Source organism: Homo sapiens, chromosome 1 (genome assembly GCF_000001405.40).
Source record: "Homo sapiens chromosome 1, GRCh38.p14 Primary Assembly".
NCBI lineage: Eukaryota > Metazoa > Chordata > Mammalia > Primates > Hominidae > Homo > Homo sapiens.
Genome location: NC_000001.11, coordinates 161,579,978 through 161,602,043, shown reverse-complemented (window position 1 = coordinate 161,602,043; position 22,066 = coordinate 161,579,978). Strand labels below are relative to the sequence as shown.

The window sequence follows — 22,066 nt, the reverse complement described above, 5'->3', positions numbered from 1 at the left end:
TCTCACGAGAGCTTAGGGTTTTATAAGTGTCTGGCACCTTCCCTGCTTGCACTCACTCTGTCCTGCCATCATGTGCAGAAGGTGACTGCTTCTCCTTTGCCTTCTGCTGTGATTGTAAGTTTCCTGAGGCCTCCCCAGCGATGAGGAACTGTGAGCCAATTAACCCTCTTTTCTTCATGAATAACCCAGTCTCAGGTATTTCTTCATAGCAGCATGAGAACACACTAATACATAGAGACAGACTAATACATAGAGTTTGGAAGGGTGGGTGGAAGCTCCATAGCCTCCTTAAAAATCGATGTAAACTATCCAACAGAGAAAGCTGCTACTTTTCAAATGCAAGAATTGTGCACAGTGATGCTGTGTCCCAGGAAAATGGAAGGCTCTTTAAGGGCACTCACCAAACCATCAAGGAGACTGTGGGTCATGTTTCTAATCTGCCTGGAATGACTTCTCTGAGAAGGTCACATCCTTCTGGTAACTGCACTGGGAAAATAGCAGTGCAGGAAGTCAGCAGTCTCCACTGACGATTCACCTAAAGTTTGCCTTTCTGAGAACTTGTGTTCCAAAACAAAGTGAGTGTTTTATTTGCCATAGAAGGAAAGGCAAGAAGACATGGAAACAAGAATACAAGTTCATTAGAAGAAGAGTATTCAGTTTTAAGAAGAGGGGCACTCACCCTACACTCCAAATCTCCATCTCTCCTCTCCTTCACATCTTATCCATTACTACCTTCTCAAGACTTTCATCACCGAAAAGAAACAGACCCCGGATAGTTCAGTCTACACCCCAATCAATACAGCCCTGAAAAGGTAAACAGAATGTTTTGGTTATAATGTTTTATTACAAAGGTAATATATGATCATTATAGAAAAATAAAATAGGTCATCAATAATTGCATCACCTTGAAACAATCACTTTTAATTTGTTGTTAGAGGTTAGTCTATTTTAACATTTCTGAAGTCATATAGACTTACATGATTGTTCTCATGTAACCTGTAACATAAGCATTTCTCATGTTGCTACATCTTTTCATAACAGTGGTTTGATTAATTGTATTGGCTGTGTGGATGTGGAACAGAAGATTCTTGATGTCAAGAATGGCTGAGGCACAGAAGGTGCAGTCAGTCATTTGGGACCATATTGTCTGTGGTTTTCAGGACAGGGAGCATCGGGACTCAGGTAGATGACTCTGGAAGAGTCCTTCTCTTTTGGAACTGCAGCATCCCTTCGTCTTCCTCAAGGGGAATTTAGACCAGGAAATACCAGATCCTCACCTCTCTAATTCTCTTCTCAAATCCCAAGGCAAAACAATGGAGACTTAATGTGGTTCTGGTAATTGGGCTCTTTGTTCTTCTGGAGCTTCCGACTGCATAAGCAGTGAATAGGTGATTTTGTTCTCAGCATGGAGAAGGCAGAAACCAGCAGTAGGGATCCACAGAGAGGGCATAGGAAAGAAGATGTTAAAGAGGCTGGGCATTGGGGCTGATGCTGGTCATCCCAGCACTTTGGGAGGCCGAGGCGGGCAGATCGCTAGAGGCCAGAAGTTCGAGATCGGCCTGGCCAACATTGCGAAACCCCGTCTCTACTAAAAAAAAAAATAAAAAATACAAAAATTAGCTGGTTATGACGGCACATGCCTGTAATCCCAGCTACTGGGAGGCTGAGGCATGAGAATCGCTTAAACCTGGGAGGCGGGTTTGCAGTGAGCCAAGATAGCACCACTACACTCCAGCCTGGGTAACAGATTGAGACTGTCAAAAAAAAAAGATGTTAAAGGAAAAATCTGAGGCGCAATTCATGAAGTTTAGTGTTCCAGTGGCAAAATGTCACAGGCAAGTATTTATTGGGAAAATGTGGAAGCAAAATAAAGGCAATCGATGGGTTTTCAATTACATAATTGTTTTTTGGGGGTAGGTATCTTCTTAGAAAGTCCCTAGTCACCTAATTATATGTTAGTAGGCTGCTTGTGATTGGCTGGGGTTGTCTTATTTCTAACATAAGCATTTACCAGAAATCATCCAAGTTAAGTTTTGCTTATGCTTGTATGTAGTATGACCCCGTGAAGTTTTGCTTGTGTTTGTAGTTTAAGCAAAGTTAAAGCTATTTCTAAGGGCCAGGTGGTTTTGTTTGCTCAGGAATTTTTCCAGTCTCCATTTAAATTTTCCTTTAACAATTCCCCTCTTTTTGTCATCCACTCAGCAAGCTGAGAGTGTGACCACATGGCATAACGTTACTCTTTAGTTATTACTGTTGACATGGTCGTTGGGAGGAAGAGTCAGGTAGATGTTTTTATCATCGTCAGTAGGTGCCCTGGGGTTCAGAGTCATGTAGCCGCCGTCAGCTGTTTCATAGTCATTGTTGGTTTCTTCAGGTTGTCTCTTTCTGATGGCAATCATTTGACGTCCAGGTGGGTGCAGGAAAGCATTTAAAACCCATAGGATAATTCAATACACCGGGGAGGTAAATACAATAACTATAAGGAGAATAATAGCCAAGGATTGAAAAATTCCTCTGAGCAAAGATTCTCGGGAGCCAAGACTTAACCAATCAAATAAATTAATGAATACAAATAAATATTATCTGATGAAAAACTCATGTATGTTCTTTAAAGTCTTTTAAATTTTAGGAGGCTATTGTTTTGCACTAAGCTCCTGCACTAGGCCCAAACAGAACAGACTAAAATTCAAAATGGAATCACCCACGATAAAGTTTCAAGTCACCAAACAGAAACTACATTCTTATCTGGCCTTTGGAAAAATCAGGAGAGAGAGATAATAACCTAATAACCTAAAAATCTAATTTTCCAAACAGGCCAGTTTCAATTGGCATCCTTACAAAAGAGTAACCTGATGTTAACCAACCAGTTATTTATTATTCTGTTTCCCTATTCCTGTCTTTTGCAACTTTAACCAGCTTTAAAATAGCCAATCCACTTTAAATTCTTTGTTTCTGCTTTCTTCAGACCTTTTTCTGTCTATGAAGCCAATCTCCTCTGCTGTAACTCATTGGAAACCTTATTCTAATTTAAGGTGGCAAGTATTGCCCAGTTCTAGAATCACCATAAAGCCAACTGAGATCTTTAAGCATTTCTTTTGACATCAGTAGGAACACAAGCTCCTCCTTGTTAAGCTGTTAAGATACCAAGAACTTCTATTTTGGGGTGCTATTGAGGCTAACTTGCTCATTTTAGATTGTATTGCTTGAAAGGAATTCAGAGTATTCTTCTATTAAAAAAACAAAGTTAATATTTGGAGCAAATTATGATCTTAGTTTTTGAGTTTAGAGGGCAGCTAGGTGAAACAATTTCTAGAGGTGAGTTTGAGGCAAGTTTAAATGGTAGACTGAAGATAGCAGTTGCAATGTGATGTGCTTTACTGGTTTGCAATTTGAATGTCTCTGGTTATTTCATTAAACATTCTGGTAAACTCTCTGAGTGACCCAGATAGCAGCAGGCATTAAGATTGGCATTAAGGCATAAGTGCTCTGTTGCAGTGATTTTTCTGAAGCTTAAAGTCACCAGTTTCAGTTTGCAGAGCTTTGGAAAAGGGCAGTTTTAGTTTCTAGTGGAACTAAAAAACAAAAATTCAGGAGTCAATCTGGTTTATAGGGAGATAATAAAACTTCAAAGAAAATGAACAGGCCTAGAATTTGACAATGGATGCACAATAGTTTTCTACTAAAATATAATCTTTTTTATTCTGGAGAAAAATATTTTTATTTTCCATTTTTACCAAAAATCAAAGTTGACTTTTTTGCAAAAATAAATCTAGTTTCATTAATTTTGACCTGATTATTTATATAGGTATAATAAAAACAGTAATTTTAAAATATATTTTAGCCACAGCTTTGGTGATATCCAAGAGACTTTACTGACTTTGTTATCAGTCAACTTTAGTTTTTAAAAACTATCTAGTAATTGAGAAATCTCAGATTAGACCTTTAAAAGCCTCTCTAGGCTAAGAAGCCAAGCCAAGGACTTGCCCAATTATGTCCTGTCATAAGGAGAATAGATTCTTATTGAACCTATGCAAACACCCAGATTGAAAATAAAAATACTTAATAAGAGTTTCCAAATTCTGAAACAATCAGGTAGAGAGAAAAAGATAAGTGGAACACTTTTTTATTTTTGTTTTAGTAGTTTGTCTTATCTGGAAATGGTGTAGATATTTAATGAATACCTGTCATTTCATTTAACATAGTTAAAGTGGCAAACATAATATTAACAAAACCAACTACCTGTCATCTCAAGGTATTTTTTTGACAAATTGTATAGCAGACAACATGAGCTTATTTGGGTAAAACTAGGTAGAATATTCACTTTCATTAATGCCAATATTCTTATTTATAAAAGATTACTCAGGTCATATGAAGTTGAAAAGCATTTTGGCAAAGTTCTTTTCTTCTGAGAAAATATGTAATTTATATAAGTGCTTATTTTTCTCTAGGCCAGTTGAGCTCCTTTAATACTGTTTCTAATAAATACCATCTGGAGATAGAATAATATGTACAAATAGCATACACATGTGTAGATATATGTAAACATACAGAAAGATGCAAACAGAAATTCATGGCTTTTGTTCTGAAATTTTAGCCATGTGCCAGGTATAATAATATAAAACTAATTAGTTGGATCTAGCCTCTAGTTAAAGTTAGCTGTTCAGATGGCTGACACTTTTTATTGATATTTGTGGAGAGGACTATTAAGATTTTTCATTTGCCAGTTTGTTTCTAAAAAATTCCTCCTTCTTTCTTTTTGATGAGTCATTTCGCTGAAGCTTGTGTTTTAAAAACATTTACACAATTCAAAGGCCCGGAGAAAGGGTACGAAGCTTCTCCAAGAAGGAGTTTTGGGGCATTTTCACCTATTATTAGGAGTCAATCTTATTGAGACTGGATTAAATTTTAAATGAGTGACTAAGGAGACATCTAGTTTATCTGGCCTATTTCCAGTTAGTTTTTATTATTTTTAGCCTTAGTGGTTGCTTTTATAATAGTTCATGTGTGCAATAACAAGAGTTAAATTTAGTTGTTGTAGATACTCCTGGCTCATTTGAGGATCTAATTTTTTAAGGAGGTTAGCATTGAGTAGGTTCAGATGGAAAAAGCAAGCAATCAAAGAGGTTAATAGGTTTAGAATACTTTCTTATTAGCACATTGTAAAGATTTACTTAGAGAGACTATTTTTTTAAATCATTCTTTTAGAAACCTTTACATACCAATCAAAATTATTTATCATTGTTTCTGAGACATTTGGGATCTCATTTTTTCCCAATACATCCCTTAAATGAACAATTTTTTCTAGATTTAAATATCCTCACTGTGACCATTGCAACTTTAAGTCATCTCTGGTAAGGCTCAATAGGTAAGGCACACCTATTTCTCTAGAAAGTCACAGGTTCTGGGCCCATATTATCTGAACATAGAAATCACTGTGTTTCAGATGGAGGAGTCCCAGACTCTGTACATTCTGACAAAGCCATAATATCTTGCCCTTCTGAAATTTACCTACCTGAGGACTGCAACTGGACCCCCAGTTCAGTTTCTGTTGAACACCTAGTTCAATCTGTCAAGTACCCAATTTGACCTCTGGATCCCAATCCAGAAATCAGACCTTGTCTGGAAACTAGTACACTATACTGGACCTAGTATAGTTCCTGTTGGAAACAGATGAACTTGTCAAATACCCAGATTAACCGCTGAATCAAATGAGAAATAAAATTACTCAAATAAACTCAGAGAGCTCAGGACACAAGTTGCAAGCCTGATATCTGAGAGGGACTTACCTAGTGACTCACAAATGCAGGAAGAAACCAGTGAACACAATGGGCTTAATGGGTACCTATGCCTGGTCACCCATTGCTCTTAGGGATCTTTGGGGGAGATTCTACTTTATATCCTACTTCTGACACCAAACTGTTAAAGAAAAATCTAAGGCACAATACAATTTTAAAGAGTTCATTTGAGTAAGAAGCAATTCATGAATTGGGTGACACCAAACCAAAAGAGGTCTAATGTTTTAATGACAGAAAGTCAGAGACAGGTATTAATTGGGAAAATGTGGAAGTAAAATAAAGAAATTTGATAGGTTTGCAGTTACATAATTGTCTTTTGGGTGAGGTACCTTATTGAAGTGTTCTTAGTCACATAATTATGTTAGTTGGCTGCTTACGATTGGCTAGGGTTAAATCTTATTTCTGTCTAACATAAATATTTACCAGAAATGATCCAAGTTAAGTATTACCTATTTTTAGTTACAATCCAACTTGAGTTTCACTTATGTTTGCAGTTTAAGCAATGATAAGGCTATTTCTAAGGCCCGGGTGGCTTTGTTTGCTCAGGAGTTTTCAGGCCCAGTCTCCATTTTAATTTTGCATTAACAAAGGCAAAAAGAGAGGAAACAGGAGAGAAGGGACAAGGCAGGAAGAAAAGGAGATGGCTGGGATTACTCATCTCAAATTGGGCAGCCTTCACAGGATCAGTGGAATTGGCTGTGGGGAAAAAGAAAAGGATTAGCCAGGGCACTGCTGTTGAAAAGGGCCTGCCCACGCTGATGCTGAGGCTGCAAAACCATAACCAGACTCAAAGCAAGGACTACTGACCCCTTGACACAGTCCTGTAAGGCCAAGGGCTAAGTAAATATGGCCTCATGTACCCACCCTTGGGGTCACCCAGCCACAGCCTTCCCCACGGGCCACACTGGTGGAGGGAAGCAGTCACTTGGGCCACACTCTTTTCAGGGAATTGCTGAGCTTTCCTAGAAGCAAACCAGACAGCTTGGGGATCTGAGATACTGGGGAAGATGTGGAGCAGGGTGTTCAGCATCAGAGTGAAGTAAAGTCCAGATTTTTGCTGACCACATCAGGAAGAGAAGGCTGAGGGCCATTTCCACATTGTCCAAATGTAGTGCATCTTTGTTGGAACTTTGAAGAATATAGTACTCCATGGCATTAAAAAGGAAGACAGAAAGAGAAAGTAACATGAGAGAGAAAAAGAGAGGCAGGGAGGGAGCTTAGGGAGGGAGAAAGGGAGGGAGGGAAGGGGGAAGGAAGGAAGGCAGGAAGGGAGAGAGGGAGGGAAGGAGGGAGGGAGGAAGGGAGGGAAGGAAGGACTTTCTCTGGTTAGTGTCCAAAACACACCTAATTGCCTCATGTTTTTGTCATAAACTGACTTGGCCAGTGTGAAAAGCAGCCCCAGTATTTGCAAAGTGGCATTTCTCAGGAAGTCGGGAGACATCTGACACAATGCATCTAGTCTCTTCTCTCACCCCCTGAACACAGAGAGCCTTTATTGCCATGCTGTAAATTCTGCAGCAAACCACATTCTGAATTCCCATTCTAATACATTCCCCAACAATTCCAGCAAACCAGCTTTGCCTTTTGGGAAAGGATTTTTAAGAAACCATTTATGCAGCCCCAATGCCTGGCTGCAAAAATGCCTCATGAAATGTGCTTATGCCAGTGCAGACAGAACCACACAACAAGATGGATAATCCAGTTGCTTGGACTTTGTATTTTCCAGATCTGTTTTGGCCCTGGTGTGAACACAGGCCCCTATCACCACTGGGCCTGGCCAGCGGACGTGCAACCTTGCTGCAAGCACAGCTGAACAAGTGATATTTTGCTCAAGCTCTTAAATCTGTTGGCTCTGCTCTGAATCATACTCCAGCCATCTGAGGTGGGGTCTTTGACAGCCTTTTTCCTGCCTGTTCCTACTGTCATGGAAACCCCCGGAGAAAGCTCTGGTTTCCTTTATGCTCTGACTTTAACTACAGTCTGGAAGTTACCTGGCATCCTCCTGGAAGTTCCTTTACACACTCCCACCTGAATGTCAGACCTAGAAGGCCTGAGAGGTCACCCTGGCCACCCACTCATTTCCTCAGTGAGGAGACTGAACCCCATCAGGGAGACTGACTTGCTCAGGGCTCCACTGTGTGATGGGGGCAGAACCAGGCCAAAATTCAGTCAACCTTGAGTGCATGGGCATTGGAACCGAGCTTTGCCCACAGAGTAGAGCCCACTAGTGCCCCTAGCCCCCCAGAATTTTCTCAAGCCCAAACCTCCTCTTAGTGTTCCACAGACAGCTGAGCCTGGCCACTCCACCCCATCCCTCCACAGAGGCAGATTCCTCAGCAAATTGAGGGGTTTCCAGGCCTCCTCCTCCTTTCCCCTTAGACTCCTGCCTCCCACGTCCGATTGGCCTCAGTCTTACAGCCCCTAACCCCATCCTCTGCCAGCTCTGCCAAAGCTCCACAGAAAGACCAAAGTATCTCTGATTTCTTGCTCTGGAAATATCATCAGATTCCTGGTACCAGAAATTCGGACACAGCCCTCTCCTCTGTATCTGGGACTGGTGTTTCTCTTCTCATCTCCAGAGAGGTCATCTTTAGGCCCAGGAGTTAGACTCAGAGCTAACCAAGCGATTTGAGCCCCGGCCATCCTCCCACCGCTGCTCCCTCCCTGGCTCCCAGCTGAACTCGCACAAGCCCCTTCTCGCTGGCTGCAGTCCAGCCGGCAGCCCTGGTGAGCCATCACTGAATCCCTGAGACAACCTGTACTCACCTGGTTTCTCAGGGAGGGTCTCTCCCATTTCCCTGCACTCAGGGTATCCTGAGAGAGCTGGGAGGGGCACACAGGAGGTTAGTAGGATTAGGCGGTGGGGCCTGAGTCCTCAGGACCAAGGACCAGGGCCAGGGTTGGATGGGACCAGCTCAGGCCTTCCCTCTGGCAGATGTTTCCTGTCCTCCCACCCCCAGCTCCCCTGCTCAGGGGCCGCTCCCGCCTGGAAAAGGGCTAGTCCAGAGGCAGAATTCAGCTCACCCATGGGGATGCCCAGGAGTGTCAGAAAGGCCACGCCATGGCATCTGTCTGAGGCTTGCTCTGCCTTTTAAAAACACCCCTGTGTCTCAGTCTCTCTCTCTCTGTTTCTCTGTATTTACTTATCATCAGTAACTGAGGTGTTGGCTATGAACCAATTGAAAAGTGCTTTGTGAGGTGTTAGCGGGATTCTTTCTTTCTTGGTGGCTTGCAGTACCCTCTCTTCTCCCCCTTCGACACCCATATGAGCCCCACCCGGCTTCAATCCCTGCCTTGGCCCAGTGCCTGGAGGGTCCTCCTTCCCTAGCTAAGCGCTGCCCTCACACACCACCTCCTCCAGAATGGCAACAGCCCTGTTTGTGTGCTGTTACTGCCTACCAGGCACTGTGTAAGAGCATCAGCCTCTTTCATCCCCATGGCAACCCTGTGAGGTAAGTCCTGTTAGTGTCCCCATTTTCCACATGAGACAGCTGAGGCACAGAGAGGTGGAGTGACTCACTTGGGTCATATAGTTGGTATGCTGTAGAACTAGATTTGAACCCAGGCAGTCTGGCCCCACTATGTGCACTCCATCACTACACTACACTGCTCTCCCTGAGAACTTCTCCAACTGCGTCAGCCCTTGTTGGGCTATGGAGCCTCCTCTGTACTTCTATCCTAGGCTTTTCATGTCCCTATCATTGCTCTTATCCCATCTTATTATAATGACCCTGTCTTCCTCACAATGCTGAGAACTCCCCAAGGGCAGGGACTGGACTTCTCTTGGCATCACCCACCATGTCTCACGCATTGGCTGACACATAAGCTAGTTTGTTCAAGTCTTGTCAAATGAATGATCTAATAAACGAATGAATGACTATAATACAATACGGGCCTAGATCTGAATGTGTATCTAGCCCAAAGAGAGGGATTCTGGCAATGTCTGGGGTTAGGGCCTGGGCCAAGTGGAAACTGATAACCAAAGGGACCGGGAGGAGCTACAAACCTGAAATCCGCTTTTTCCTGCAGTAGATCAAGGCCACTACAGCAGCAACAATGGCCGCTACAGCAATCCCAGTGACCACAGCCACAATGATCCCCATCGGTGAAGAGCTGGGAGCTAGGGAAGACAGACATCAGGACAGGCAGTACTCTCCTTGTCCCACCTCCCCCCCATCCAATGCTATGTCCTAGTGCTTGTCACCCGAAGCTCTTCTGTGTCTGAGTCACTCACTTCTGCAGCACTCACTACATCCCCAGCCTCATCTGCACAGGGTTTCTGTGGCTGGACTTATGCCTCCTGCCTACCGAGGTTTCTCCACCGAACTAATAAAGGCACACTGGTGAGCAGGCAGGAGCAGAAGGAAGGGCTCCCCTTAGCCCTCAGGGGCAGTGGGAAGGGTGGGCCCAAAGCCTCGCATAGCTGGAGGCATCATTACTCTATGGAGCACAGCCTTGAACAGTCCATGACGTGCCAGGCTTTCTGGAGTGAATGGCTATAACATGAGCCATGAGAAGAATAAAGGCAAACCTCAGTTCTTACGAATGCCCAGGAGCTTAGGGAACCTCTGCACCAACGAGGGAGCTCTGCTTCGCTGCCGTCCTTAGTCTGGGGCCTGCATTTCAAAGTGGAACAACAGCCTGGTCACCTATCACCTGAGGGCTCCAAGCTCTGGCCCCTACTCCTGCTCATTGGTCAATACTTAGCCAGGCCTCCACACCACTCCTCTTTGCTCCAGTGCCCAATTTTGTGCTGTGGCCTTTCTCAGACCTCCATGTAGGCCCATGTGACCTCAGCCCTTGTCCATCCCCTCTTCTCCCCTCCCTACATCTTGGCAGACTCCTCATACCTTGGACAGTGATGGTCACAGGCTTGGATGAGTACAGCGTGTAGCCTATGTTTCCTGTGCAGTGGTAATCACCACTGTGACTGTGGTTTGCTTGTGGGATGGAGAAGTTGGGATCCGAACGGGAAAATTTCTTGGATTTTCCATTCTGGAAGAATGTGACCTTGACCAGAGGCTTGTCCTTCCAGCTGTGGCACCTCAGCACGATGGTTTCTCCCTCCTGGAACTCCAGGTGAGGGGTCTGGAGCACCAGCCACTCTGAAAGACACAGAAAACCCCAGAGGACCCGGGAGGTCTTGGCTCAGCTCTGAGACCCAGATCTTCCTTACTGGTGGGACATGATGTGCAGAGGGAACAGCTTAGGTCTGAAATCAGACAGTCCTGGACTCTAATGCTGGCTCTATCATTTATGAACTCTTGGGCAAATAATTTAAGTCTTCTGAGCCTCAGTTTCCTCATTTGTGAAAATGAGCATGATAATGTCATGTATCTACAATAGCCCCTAGCACATAATAGGTGTTCAGGATACACTCATCTCCTCCTTCTCCCAGGAAGGCAGCTGCAGCCTTTTCCTGCCCGACAGGCCTCTTCAGGAAGAACACAAGAGACCCTAAGATGCCATCTCTTCCATGTCGAGGAGGGAAGGAGGAATCCAGTGTGGCCAAGGAGTCTGCATATGATAAGGACATATGCCTTTGTGGACAGTAGAAAAGTCATGAATGTGCAACAAATGTTACCTGATGAATGCTACCTGATAAATTTACTTTGGGAATGTTAATAAATGTGGAGATTCTTTCCAGCAGGGTCTAAAGGCAGCAGTGTCACCAGTGGGTCATTTGTTTGCTGTGTACTTTTGAGGAAAATTTGCTCTTCAGGTGAAGGGAGGGGACTAAGTGAAAAGCCACAAGGACAATGTTCATCACAATCTCATTGTAACTTTGCTTTACAGAGAGCCACCTTTCAATGGGAGCTTTGTAAGATCATCAACCTCTCCAGCAAAATATTTATTAAGCTCTGCCCAGTTTCAGATGCTGGAAATACAAAGATGGGTAAGACACGACTTTCATCTCAGGTTTCCCACAGGCTGGTGGAAGAGAAAGACAGAGAAGAGCACCTAGCACAGTGAGAACGTGGAGAAGGGGCATGGAGGGCGGGGCGGGGGCAGGGAAACACTGATTCTCACCAGAAGCCTCTGAGGGAGGCGTTAGTGCCCCACGGAGCAGGTGAAGAAATGGAAACTCAAGGGTTAAATGAATTCATCATGTTGTATAGTGAGTCATTTCCAGGGCTAGGATTCAGTTGTGGTCTGTGCTTTTCAATTCTGCCATTAAAATGGAAATGGATTTTATGCAGTAGGGATTTCCTTCTGCTTCTCTCACACTTGGCTGCCTGTTTTTGGCCTTGTAATCTTCTTCTGTTCAATCAGGACTGAGGCAAAGCAACCACTGACATGTGCTGAGGCAACTCACAGCGATACTTCCCAGTAAGCAGGCCACCCTCCTTTCCTGCAAACCTCTGCCTGAAAGCAGATTTCATCCATCCTGGCCCTCCCAGGTCCACCCTGGGGCCTTCCTCCACTGACCAGAAAGCACAGTCAGATGCACAGGGTCGCTGAGGCTGGTCTGGCCAGTCTGGCACGTGTACTCCCCGCTGTCATTGTTGTTGGCCTTGAACCTGTAGCTGGGCTGCGTGTGGGTGGGAATGAGATTCCCATTGTGGAACCACGGAATGGAGTCGCTCTCAGGGCTGTGAGTCCCCCGGCATGTCAGAGTCACAGAGTCCTCTTGGAGCACGTTGATCCACTAGGGCTCGAGTTTCAGCACAGCCTTTGGGGGAGCTGCTGAGGGGCAGAGAGAGGAGGTAGTGTGAGGAAGAGGAAGCCCAAGAGCCTGAGAGGCCCTGAATCTCAGACAAAAAAGCACCTGTAGGCCTACTGGGGGCACCAAAAGCTGAGCCAGGCCCAGAATGGTTCTGCAACTGAAGGCAGTTGCTTTTGCTCATACATCCCACCACAAGGGCCCCAGGGAACCCAGGACTCAGACAGGGCAACAGGGAAGAAGGAGGGAGCAGGCAAGAGAAACACCCTCGAAATACATATACTTTACCTGAGATATCTTCACCAGTTCCTTCTCTCTCTCCCCACCAACCTCTCCCCACCAGCACAGACACACAGACACCCCATACATACATACTCTTTCGAGACTAACTTTTCTCCCCGATAAACAAAGGCATTTGGACACTAGTGGATAAATTTCCCCTGGGGCTGGCTGAAGATAAGTGGGGGCTCTGGTGGAGATGGCAGGCATGGGAGTTGGATATCAGGTTTCCGTTCTGACCTAATGTCATTCTGTATACTTTAAAAACGAGGTCAAGATGGCCCGTCCTCACACCCAAGCATACACGAGCCTCTCTGGCCTCAGAAGGATAAAGAGAGAGGGAGAAAAGCCGGAGGGCCAGTCCTGGAGCGGTGGAGGCTGAGTGGCACAAACACAGAAGTGCCCGGCAAAGTGTAGCCAGAGGTATGCAGAGACCACTCTGTCAGGGAACAGGCCTTGGAGCTCTCAGAAACATGCACAGTCAAGGATTTAGCAACACAGGGGGACAACATATGCAGGCCATGTGATTTTGCATGTGCCTGAATTTTATTTGGAGAGAGGAAGCCCTTGGTTTTATTTGGACAGCGGAAGGCAGTTGAGAGAGAGATCAGAGTTCTCATTTTCTGTGACAGCTCCCCCATTTGAACACCGTGGCTGCCTACCACTTGCCTCCGTGGAAGGAGGAAAAGGAAGGAGGAGAGTGGAAGAGGGAGAGGGGATCTTTCGGGAGCAATTACCCTTTCCTGGCCCTGACTTGGTACTGGGCTCAGTTGCTGGTGCATTTAGAGCACCTCCAGACAGGGCACTGGGAGGAGAGGAAAAGGGGACCCGAGGGAAGGAAAGGCTGTGGGTGGAGTACTTACCAGGTGTCCCAGCAACAGGAGCTGTAAGACAGAAAGCAAAGATCAGCCCACAGTGGAGTGTCTGAACTGACACCTGCCCACTTTGGCCCAGAGACTGCCCAGGCCCAGAGCGCCCTTCACCTACAGCACAGCCCTCGTGGCCATATCCCCTGGGACTGCCTGGATGAGCTGCACTTTTAAAAGGACTGAGAACTCCCAGTAACATACAAAAATGAAATAAAAGTATATAACACCCTCTTCCACCTGTTTTGTGGCATTTTCCTTTGGCTTACCCCTCTTGACTGATTAAAATAAATATGCCTCTGGAAAGAGGTCTCTGTTGGGCTTTACATATGATTTATGCATCAGTATAAATAATTTTGCCAGAGTTTATCCTGAGAGCAAGATTTGTTCTTTTGTTGGGAGGGGGTAGAAATTGCACAGGTAATCCATGATCACTACAGAAAAATAGAAAATACGCAGGAGCAAAATATTATCACCTTGGCATACATCCTGTTGGATTTCTTTCTGTGATCACACACAGACACACGCTGTTCACATACAGACATACATAAGTGTAAATGAGGATATACTCTAAAAACTGTTCTTTAACCTGATTTTTCACTGAGCAATGCAAGTTCTAGAAGATGAATCTGTTTCTATGTTGTCATTTTATTTTATTTTATTTCATTTTGTGGGGGGACAGGGTCTCACTCTGTCACCAGGCTGGAGTGCAATAACGCGATCTTGGCTCACTGCAACCTCCGCCTCCTAGGTTCAAGTGATTCACCTGCCTCAGCCTCCCAAGAGCTGGGATTACAGGCCCGCGCCACCACACCCAGCTAAGTTTTGTATTTTTAGTAGAGAAGGGGTTTCACCATGTTGGCCAGGCTGGTCTGGAACTCCTGACCTCAAGTGATCTACCCACCTCAGCCTCCCAAAATTCTGGGATTACAGGTGTGAGCCACCGTTCCCCGCCCATGTTGTCATTTTAAATGGCTACACTATATCCTACTATTTGGCTGTCCTGTGATTTATTTAACAACTCTTTTGCTTGGCATTTAGGTCTTCCAGATTTTTGCTATTAGAAATATCTGATAAAAGGAGGAAGAGACTGCAAAAGGGCACTAGATCTGTGACTTCATGCAGGGGTAGGGGGATGCCACTGGGTTAAGAAAAGAGCTTCCGTAGTGGAGGCAAAGTGTGGGCTAGGGTAGATAAAGATTTGTGGGTGCTGTTATTGGGTAAAGAAGCAAAGCTGGGTCCTTAGGTGAATCAGAGCTCTGTGTGTGTGTGTGTGTGTATGTGTGTGTGTGTCCATCTGTCCATGGGTGAAGGTTTTCTCTTGCATCTGGGCTGAGAGAAAGTCAAGAAGCTTCCAAGTGCATGTATATTTTCAGGGACAAAAGTACGGAAGGAAATGGAATCAGAACCAAGAGGTAAAAAGGGGGCAATGTGGAGAAAGTGTTGGCTTCAAAGTTTACAGAACTGGATTCTGGTCCCGATGCTCCAATATCTCGAAATATACACTTGGACCAATCACTTCCTTCCTTTGCATCCAAAATTAATCAACAAACCTGCATTGGCTTCCTACTGCCCTGCAATGCATGCTGAGTTCACCTAAGGGAAAAGAACGTTAAGTCCCTACTTCCACTGAAGGCAAGAATCTAACGGTGGAGATAAGCACATGTGTAATCTGATGTAAAAGAGATGACATTAGAGGAATTTGGATAAAATGCTATGGAGGTTCAGAGAAAGAAAAGATCCCAGGGCTCTGTGTTTGGGAGGGTTTGGGGTTCATAAGGAGGGGAATCCTATGGAGAAGATGGGACCTTTCAGGTTCATCAAGGACCTTCCAGGACTGATAGGATTTTGGCTGAGAGGGAAAAGGTATTCCATGGGAAGGAGCAGCAAGTACTTGGCAACATTCCCAGCAAGTTGCAGCCCAACTTCTACTTGATTTCTGGTCTCTCCTCAAGCACTTCCAATAATGAGGGACAAAGCAGGAAAGCAAAGTAGAAGTCATACTCTGGAGGGCTCCTAGTGCCAGGTGGTGTGGCAGTGGGGGAAAGCACATACTGAGTTTAAATGCTGACTCCGCTACTGCTAAGTGACCTTTCACAAATTACTTAACTTTTCTCTGCTTCAGTTTCCTTGCTTGTAAATGAAGATAATGACAGCAGTATCTACCTCATAGGGTGGTTGTTAGGATTAAATGAGATAATCCAGAGAAGGCATTTAGTGTGCTACATGACACATGGTGAATTTCAAATAAATTTAAGTTTTTTTTTATAAGTTCACTCCTTGGTTCAGTATACAGTGGGAAGTCACTTAGAATTTTCAAATTGGGGCTGAAAGTGCAGTGTCAAATAGATTGGAACAGGGCAAATGCCAAAGAGCTTAATTAAGAAAGAAACTAATTGTGATGGAAGAATGAGGTCAGAGAAAAAGAAAAAGAAAAAAAAAAGAGATGACTGTAGTGATCCAGAATATGTGGATAACCCATCAAACAACTGGCCTCTTCATTCCCTGAACTGCTCATCATCAGTAAACTTTCTTTCTTTGGAGATGAACTTTCTCTGCTCAAGTACAGCCACCAGAATAATCTTTGACCTTATCAAGAACCCCAAAGCATCCATCTTACCACTGCCTATCCTTGAGCACATGTTTGCCTTTACCTCCCACCCTCCCCCATCTAGCTTGAATTCAATGAGGCATCATTATAATTACCTCCTTGCAAATCCCCTTAACTTCGTTGCCTTTCTCTATCTCTACCAAATGCACCTGTATTCGCCATGCCTTTACTTGCTCAGCTGCGTGTTATTGAAATTACCACACAAGAAGGCAAACTGTTGACGCAGTAAATGTGCGATCACCGCATTTAAAAGGACACTGAACTGCCATTGTGGCACTTTTTTCCAAGAAATTTGCTCTGCTACTCTGAGTAGTGACACTCATCTTTTCCTCATTCCCCAAGCTTTCTCATCCCACCCTCTGCCTCCAGTCCTCTCTCATTTTTAGCTGATGCCTTTCCTCATATTTCACAGAGAAAACAAAAGAGGTTACACAGAAGATCTCACATCGTCCCCCGACTAAATCTACCAGTCTTTTCTGCATCTCTACCTGTCTTCTCCTTCCTCGCATTTCACTGGAGAAAGCATCTCTCCTCCTGTCTATGGTCAGTCTCAAAGCAAGTACTCTGGATCCCATTCCCTTTAATCCTCTCAAAGATTTCCCTTTCTGTTATTCACTTTCTCCTCTGCATCACCAGTTTCTCTCTTAGCTGGATCTTCCCATCAATGGTAAATTTATTTCAGTATCTTCCATTAAAAACAAAAAACAAAAAAAAACTTTTCCTTGACACCACATATAATTCCAGCTACTGCCCCATTTCTCTCGGTTTTTGTTGTTGTTGTTGTTTGCTTCACCCAGGCTGGAGTGCAGCGGCACCATCTCAGTGCACTACGACCTCCGCCTCCCAGATTCAAGCAATTCTCCTGCCTCAGCTTCCCAAGCAGCTGGGATTACAGGCATGCACCACCACGCCCGGCTAACTTTTGTATTACCACCACATCCGGCTAATTTTTGTATTTTTAGTAGAGATGGTGTTTCACCATGTTGGCCAAGCTGGTCTTGAACTCCTGACCTTAAGTGATCCACCCACCTCGGCCTCTCCAAGTGTTGGGATTACAGGCATGAGCCACTGTGCCTGGCCTGTCTCATCCCTTTCAAAACTAAATTTCTCCATTGTTTTTCTTACATAGGCTGTCCTGATTTCTTCTCCTCTCATTCACTGTCTAATTCTCTGCAATTTGGACTCGGCCCTCAGCAGTCCACTAAAACTTTTCTTGTCAAAATCACCAATGGCTTCATGTTGTCATAGCAAGTGGACACATTCTGTTTCTCTCCGTCTTCCCCATGTCAATATGTATCTTCGTTATCCACCCAGCTACATAGGCCAGAAACCTGCAAGCCATCTTTTAACCTCTCTGTCTCCCAAAATCCAGTCCCTTCCACACCAGGAAGTCTTGTTGATCCTGCTTCCAACTTAGATCTTGCACCCACTAACTTCTCTTCACCCCCTTTATAGACACTACTCAGTTTAAGTCACCATCAGCTTTTTCCCATATCTTAATTTGTCCCCTCACTTCTTATGGTCACCCTACAATCCATTTTCCATAAAGAAGCTAGTTCCTTAAAAAAAAAAAAAAAACGAAATCAGATGATATCACTCCCCAACTTACAAGCCTTCAGTTGCCTTTCTTTGGTCTTAAAATAAAATGGAAATGGCCTGCAAGCCCTATCAAATTGGGTCCGTGCTTCCTTCTCCAGCCTCAGCTCAGATCCCTTTTCACCTACTCATTGAGCCTCATTAACACTGGCCTTCCTGGCATTCTTCAAATTTGGGGATTTTCTGTATGCCAATCCCTCTACCCTGAAATGCGTCCTTGATCACCAAATGGCTGAATCCTTACCATGTTGAAAGTCTCAGCTTAAATGTCACCCCCTCAGAAAACTCTTTACATAACATCCTGTTTAAAGTGGGCTGCTCTCTTCTCTTCCCCACAACTAATCTTATCACAGTACCCCGTTTACATCTTCATAGCCCTTTTCCATTTGTACTTATGCCTTCTTGTTTGTTTACTTACCGTTTATATCCCTCAGTAGAATATAAATTCAAAGAGAGCAGTAGCCATATTAATTTGATGTGCCATTGCTCTGGAAATCATTCACTGGTTGAATCTAGGTGGGAGATAAGAGAGCCCAAAGTTGTACTGACAATAGGAGGTGAAGAAGAGGAAACAGATGCAGAAGAAATTTAAGTGGCAGAGAGAAGTTGGCATTTAATAGACTGTGGGGGTGATTTAAGTTGGATAACTAGGAAAAGGGTGGCTGCGCTTACGCAAATACAAATGTTAGGAGGAAGAGAACATTTGTAAGGAGGAGATGATAAGTTGCATTTTGAATATGCTTTGTTTTTGAGCTGGAGAATCATTTTAGAGGTGTCCAACCAGCAGTGGAAATATAAAATTATACTTGACAGAAGCAAGCAAGAGAAATAGGTTTAGGAGTTATTGACATAGAAGTGGTAGCTAAAAACCTGAGTATGTAGGATTGGCAAGGGGGACGGTGTAGTGGGAGAGAGAGTAAAAAAGAAGAGGAAGAGCGAGAGAAAAAAAAGGAAAAGATGAGGAAAGGAGAGAGAAGTCACCAATTATGTATCCATTCCACAGTTAATAAATAGTAGTAAATACCAAATATCCTCCCACCCGGTGTACTTATTGCTTCACAATAAGTTCATTGACCTCGTATTTCCGGTCAGGAAGGCTGTCAGTCATGTTCACTGATAAGTCTCCAAGTCCTAGAACAGTGCCTGCACATAGAATTTGGAGAGTCAGCAGGAGCAAAGGTGGTAAAAACAGAAAGTGCAGTGTACATACTGCCTGGCTGTAGAAGAAGATTCATGTGGGGTGCAATGGAGAACACAGTGTGCAGGGCAGAATTAGAGTTTTTGCAGTGGGCAATGGAGCAGCACGGAAGGCATTTATTAAATGCACTGACACAGCCATAGCTGGACCTGAAGATGCCGTGGCCTTGGTGGGCAGCATGGATGCAGGGGAGGGGAGACAGGATCAATCAAGACCCCATCAGAGGGTGCTATAAAAATTGAGTTATCAAGTGATGAAGACGTAAATGTGGCAGCCCCAATAAGAATGGAAAAAATGGGGTAAATCTTTGATGACTTAGTAAAAGGCAAATGGGAAAAAATACCAAAGATCTTTCCCAGGAGTCTTGCCCAGGTGGTAGAGAAGCACATCACCTCTCTAGGCCTGAACTTCCCCACATGACAAATGAGGTAGTTCACTTCACTTTCTCTTCTACTTTAATCCATTCCATCCTATTCATGGGGGAATACTCTGTCTTCCTTACCTCTTTCTCCTGTAGCCCAGTATCATCCTGCATTGACAGCCAAGAGCCGAGGGCCCCCAGAGCTGATCACGTTTCACTAGTAATCACATCACACAACTTGGCTGAGTGGCAATATGCTTTCCTCTAGAATGTGAGGGTGGAAGCCCCAGGAACTGAGCTTGGAGAGATAGTCCTGGCAGTAAGTCTCCCCTACTTGGCCTCCCCTAGGCTTTTCAAACCACTCAGCAAAATCAGTCGTCGTCCCCTATCCAACAGCTGAGAACATGGTTAGAAAAGAGCCCTCCATTTTGGCCAAAGACCCTGTCTCTCTTGCTGATCAGATGCAGTACTTCCCCATCATGGTCTGTGTGGTCAAAAGCAGCATGCATGATTTCTCTGGTCCCACAACAGATGACTCCAGACTTACCCAGGTTTTTGTATTCTCAGAGTCCCTTTTCCCTGGATAACCCAGATCTCCCTGTGCTTCTGCCTAGGGGAATATTCTTACACATGAAGACAATAGGCTTCTGCTACACAAAGTGGTTTCAGGGGCACAGAGAATGGCCACCGCCACCTCCTCCCAAAAATGCATCTTACAACTTCCTCCCTACCCCTTACCCAAGGCAGCACTGGCCCTCCTGCCTAAGATTTGGTCTTTTGTGAAGCATAAATTTCAAAGAAGGCAAACACTCTGGCCATTCATTTATCATTCAAGTATAGGTTACTAGACTTTTCTCAGAGCGGGTTCTGATGTGGAAAGCAACAGAACATCAAGAGTCTGGGTGTTCAGTAAGATTGGGTGAAAGACACTGAAAAAACCCTGAACTCTGCCACATTGGATGACTTTCCAAAGCCAGCAGAGTCATCAGGGTTTCATCTTCACCAGCCTGCCTTCCCTCCCCTGGGTGTCCTGACGGTCTTCCCATGCCACCCCTCATCCTTGCCCAGGGTTATCCCCAACTGAGGTTCCCGTTCCTCTCTCCCTCCTGGGGGCCCTGACTCACCCAGGAATAGCACAGCTGTCCACAGAAGCATATGACCCCAAGGCTGGGGGGACTTGCAGTCAGCCCAGTCACTCTCAGTGGCAAGGACAGGTAAGAATGACAGGATTCCCATCACTCCCTGGAGCGAGCTGGCGCCCAGAGCACAGCAGTCACAGCCTTCTCTCAAAGCTTGGCGGATTCTACCCTAGAGGGCAAACAAATTCTGGAGTCTGAAAGGGGAAGTGAAAAAGAAATGTTCTGTTTTATCACAGGCTCCTCCCTTTCCACCCTCTTTCCTCTCAGTCTTTCCCTCCTAGAAGATTCAGAGCTTCCCAGAATAAATCTGGTGTAGCCCATGTTCAAATTCACAGAAATTTTAGAAACTAGGGAAACAACTCCCTTCTTCTTCCTCTGAGGCCACAGCTGGCCTGGGCCTCTGGGAGAAAGAGGGAAATGGTCACCAAAACTCAGCTCAGAACCTCCTGTTTCAGTCTCTATCCTCCTGAGAAAGGGTGATGCAGGACAGCGTGCACCAGCAATCTTCTAGTACTTCTACTTCCATTTGGAGACCCAGGCCCTGGAATCTGGATGCTTCTTGAAATTGAGCATGGGGACTCCAGGCCACCTACCATCATTTAATTTTCTCTATTGTCATAATCCCAGACTCACTGCTGAGTTGTGGAACAAGGACAAGGAGGTATGTCAGGATGGCAATAGAATGACCACACTCATCCTCATTATTCCCCTGCCCTCATTCATTCTTTTTCTTATTCATTCTTCTATTTAATGAATATCCCAATAAGTATCTATTGAGCACCAATCTGTGCCCTGGTTTTGTATCTTGGTCATTTTTGCCACCCTCATTTCCATCCCTGTTCTCACTGCAACGGCATGGTGAAAGAGCATGGGCTTTGGAGCTGTGTTAGGTTTCGGGTTGAATGCCAGGTGGCTTCTCAGAGTGTCAGGTTCCAATCTGTAAAAGTGAAGATTATTGTGCCTACCATTTAAGCACGGTTTCTCAGCCTGAGCACTATGGACATTGTGGGCCAAATTATTCTTGTGAGGACCTTCCCTGAGCATTGTAGGATGTTCCGCAGCACTCCTGGGCTCTACCTGTTAGATGCCAGTGGCACTCCCAGTTGTGAAAACAAATATGCCCCCAGATATTAGCAAGTGTTCCCCAGGGGATGAATTGCCCCTGGCTGAGAACCACAGTACTACAGGTTTTTGGAAAGTAAAAGAGAATATGAGGGTTAGCAAAGTGCTTGGTACATCGTGGGTGTCCAGTGAATGCTAGTTCTCTTTTCTTGCGTTCTGTCATCATCCTCATTACCATTTGTTCACCCTCAACATCTCCAAAACACGAGTTTCTCTGGAATCTCTCCTGGGGCCCCTTTCTGGGGACTCTTTCCCAAATGCCTTCTCAGGAAGCAGGCTGTAATACTTTAATACTTAAGGAAATGACACTGTAAAACCTTGTTATCACACTCTGTGGTCTTCAGAAACCTTCGACAGCCCCACCCACTCTGACGCGTGCTTTTACTACTGCCCCCGTTCTACCCCCAGATCCATCTCCAGCTCTTATCTAATTTT

At 44.7% G+C, this 22,066-nt stretch overlaps 1 pseudogene across 1 annotated transcript, besides 2 other annotated features; it reads right to left on the bottom strand.

Moving 5' to 3' along the window:
• On the bottom strand, positions 824–20,705 carry FCGR2C (Fc gamma receptor IIc (gene/pseudogene); annotated as a pseudogene). Its single transcript, NR_047648.1, has 7 exons — positions 20,495–20,705; positions 13,602–13,622; positions 12,225–12,482; positions 10,646–10,900; positions 9,802–9,915; positions 6,454–6,491; positions 824–2,414 (listed from the first exon to the last, which is right to left on the bottom strand). The product of NR_047648.1 is annotated as an Fc gamma receptor IIc (gene/pseudogene), transcript variant 1, non-coding (transcript).
• Positions 9,129–9,335: a silencer, noted in NCBI's record as "fragment chr1:161562499-161562705 (GRCh37/hg19 assembly coordinates)". NCBI's record gives its function as "represses an EF-1alpha promoter that drives an FKBP-Casp9 reporter gene in an ReSE screen in K562 erythroleukemia cells {active_cell/tissue: K562}" and the evidence as "EXISTENCE:reporter gene assay evidence [ECO:0000049][PMID:32094911]".
• Positions 12,318–12,818: an enhancer, noted in NCBI's record as "H3K4me1 hESC enhancer chr1:161559016-161559516 (GRCh37/hg19 assembly coordinates)". NCBI's record gives its function as "activates a minimal SCP1, AML or CMV promoter by ChIP-STARR-seq in primed H9 embryonic stem cells {active_cell/tissue: H9 hESC(primed)}" and the evidence as "EXISTENCE:reporter gene assay evidence [ECO:0000049][PMID:30033119]".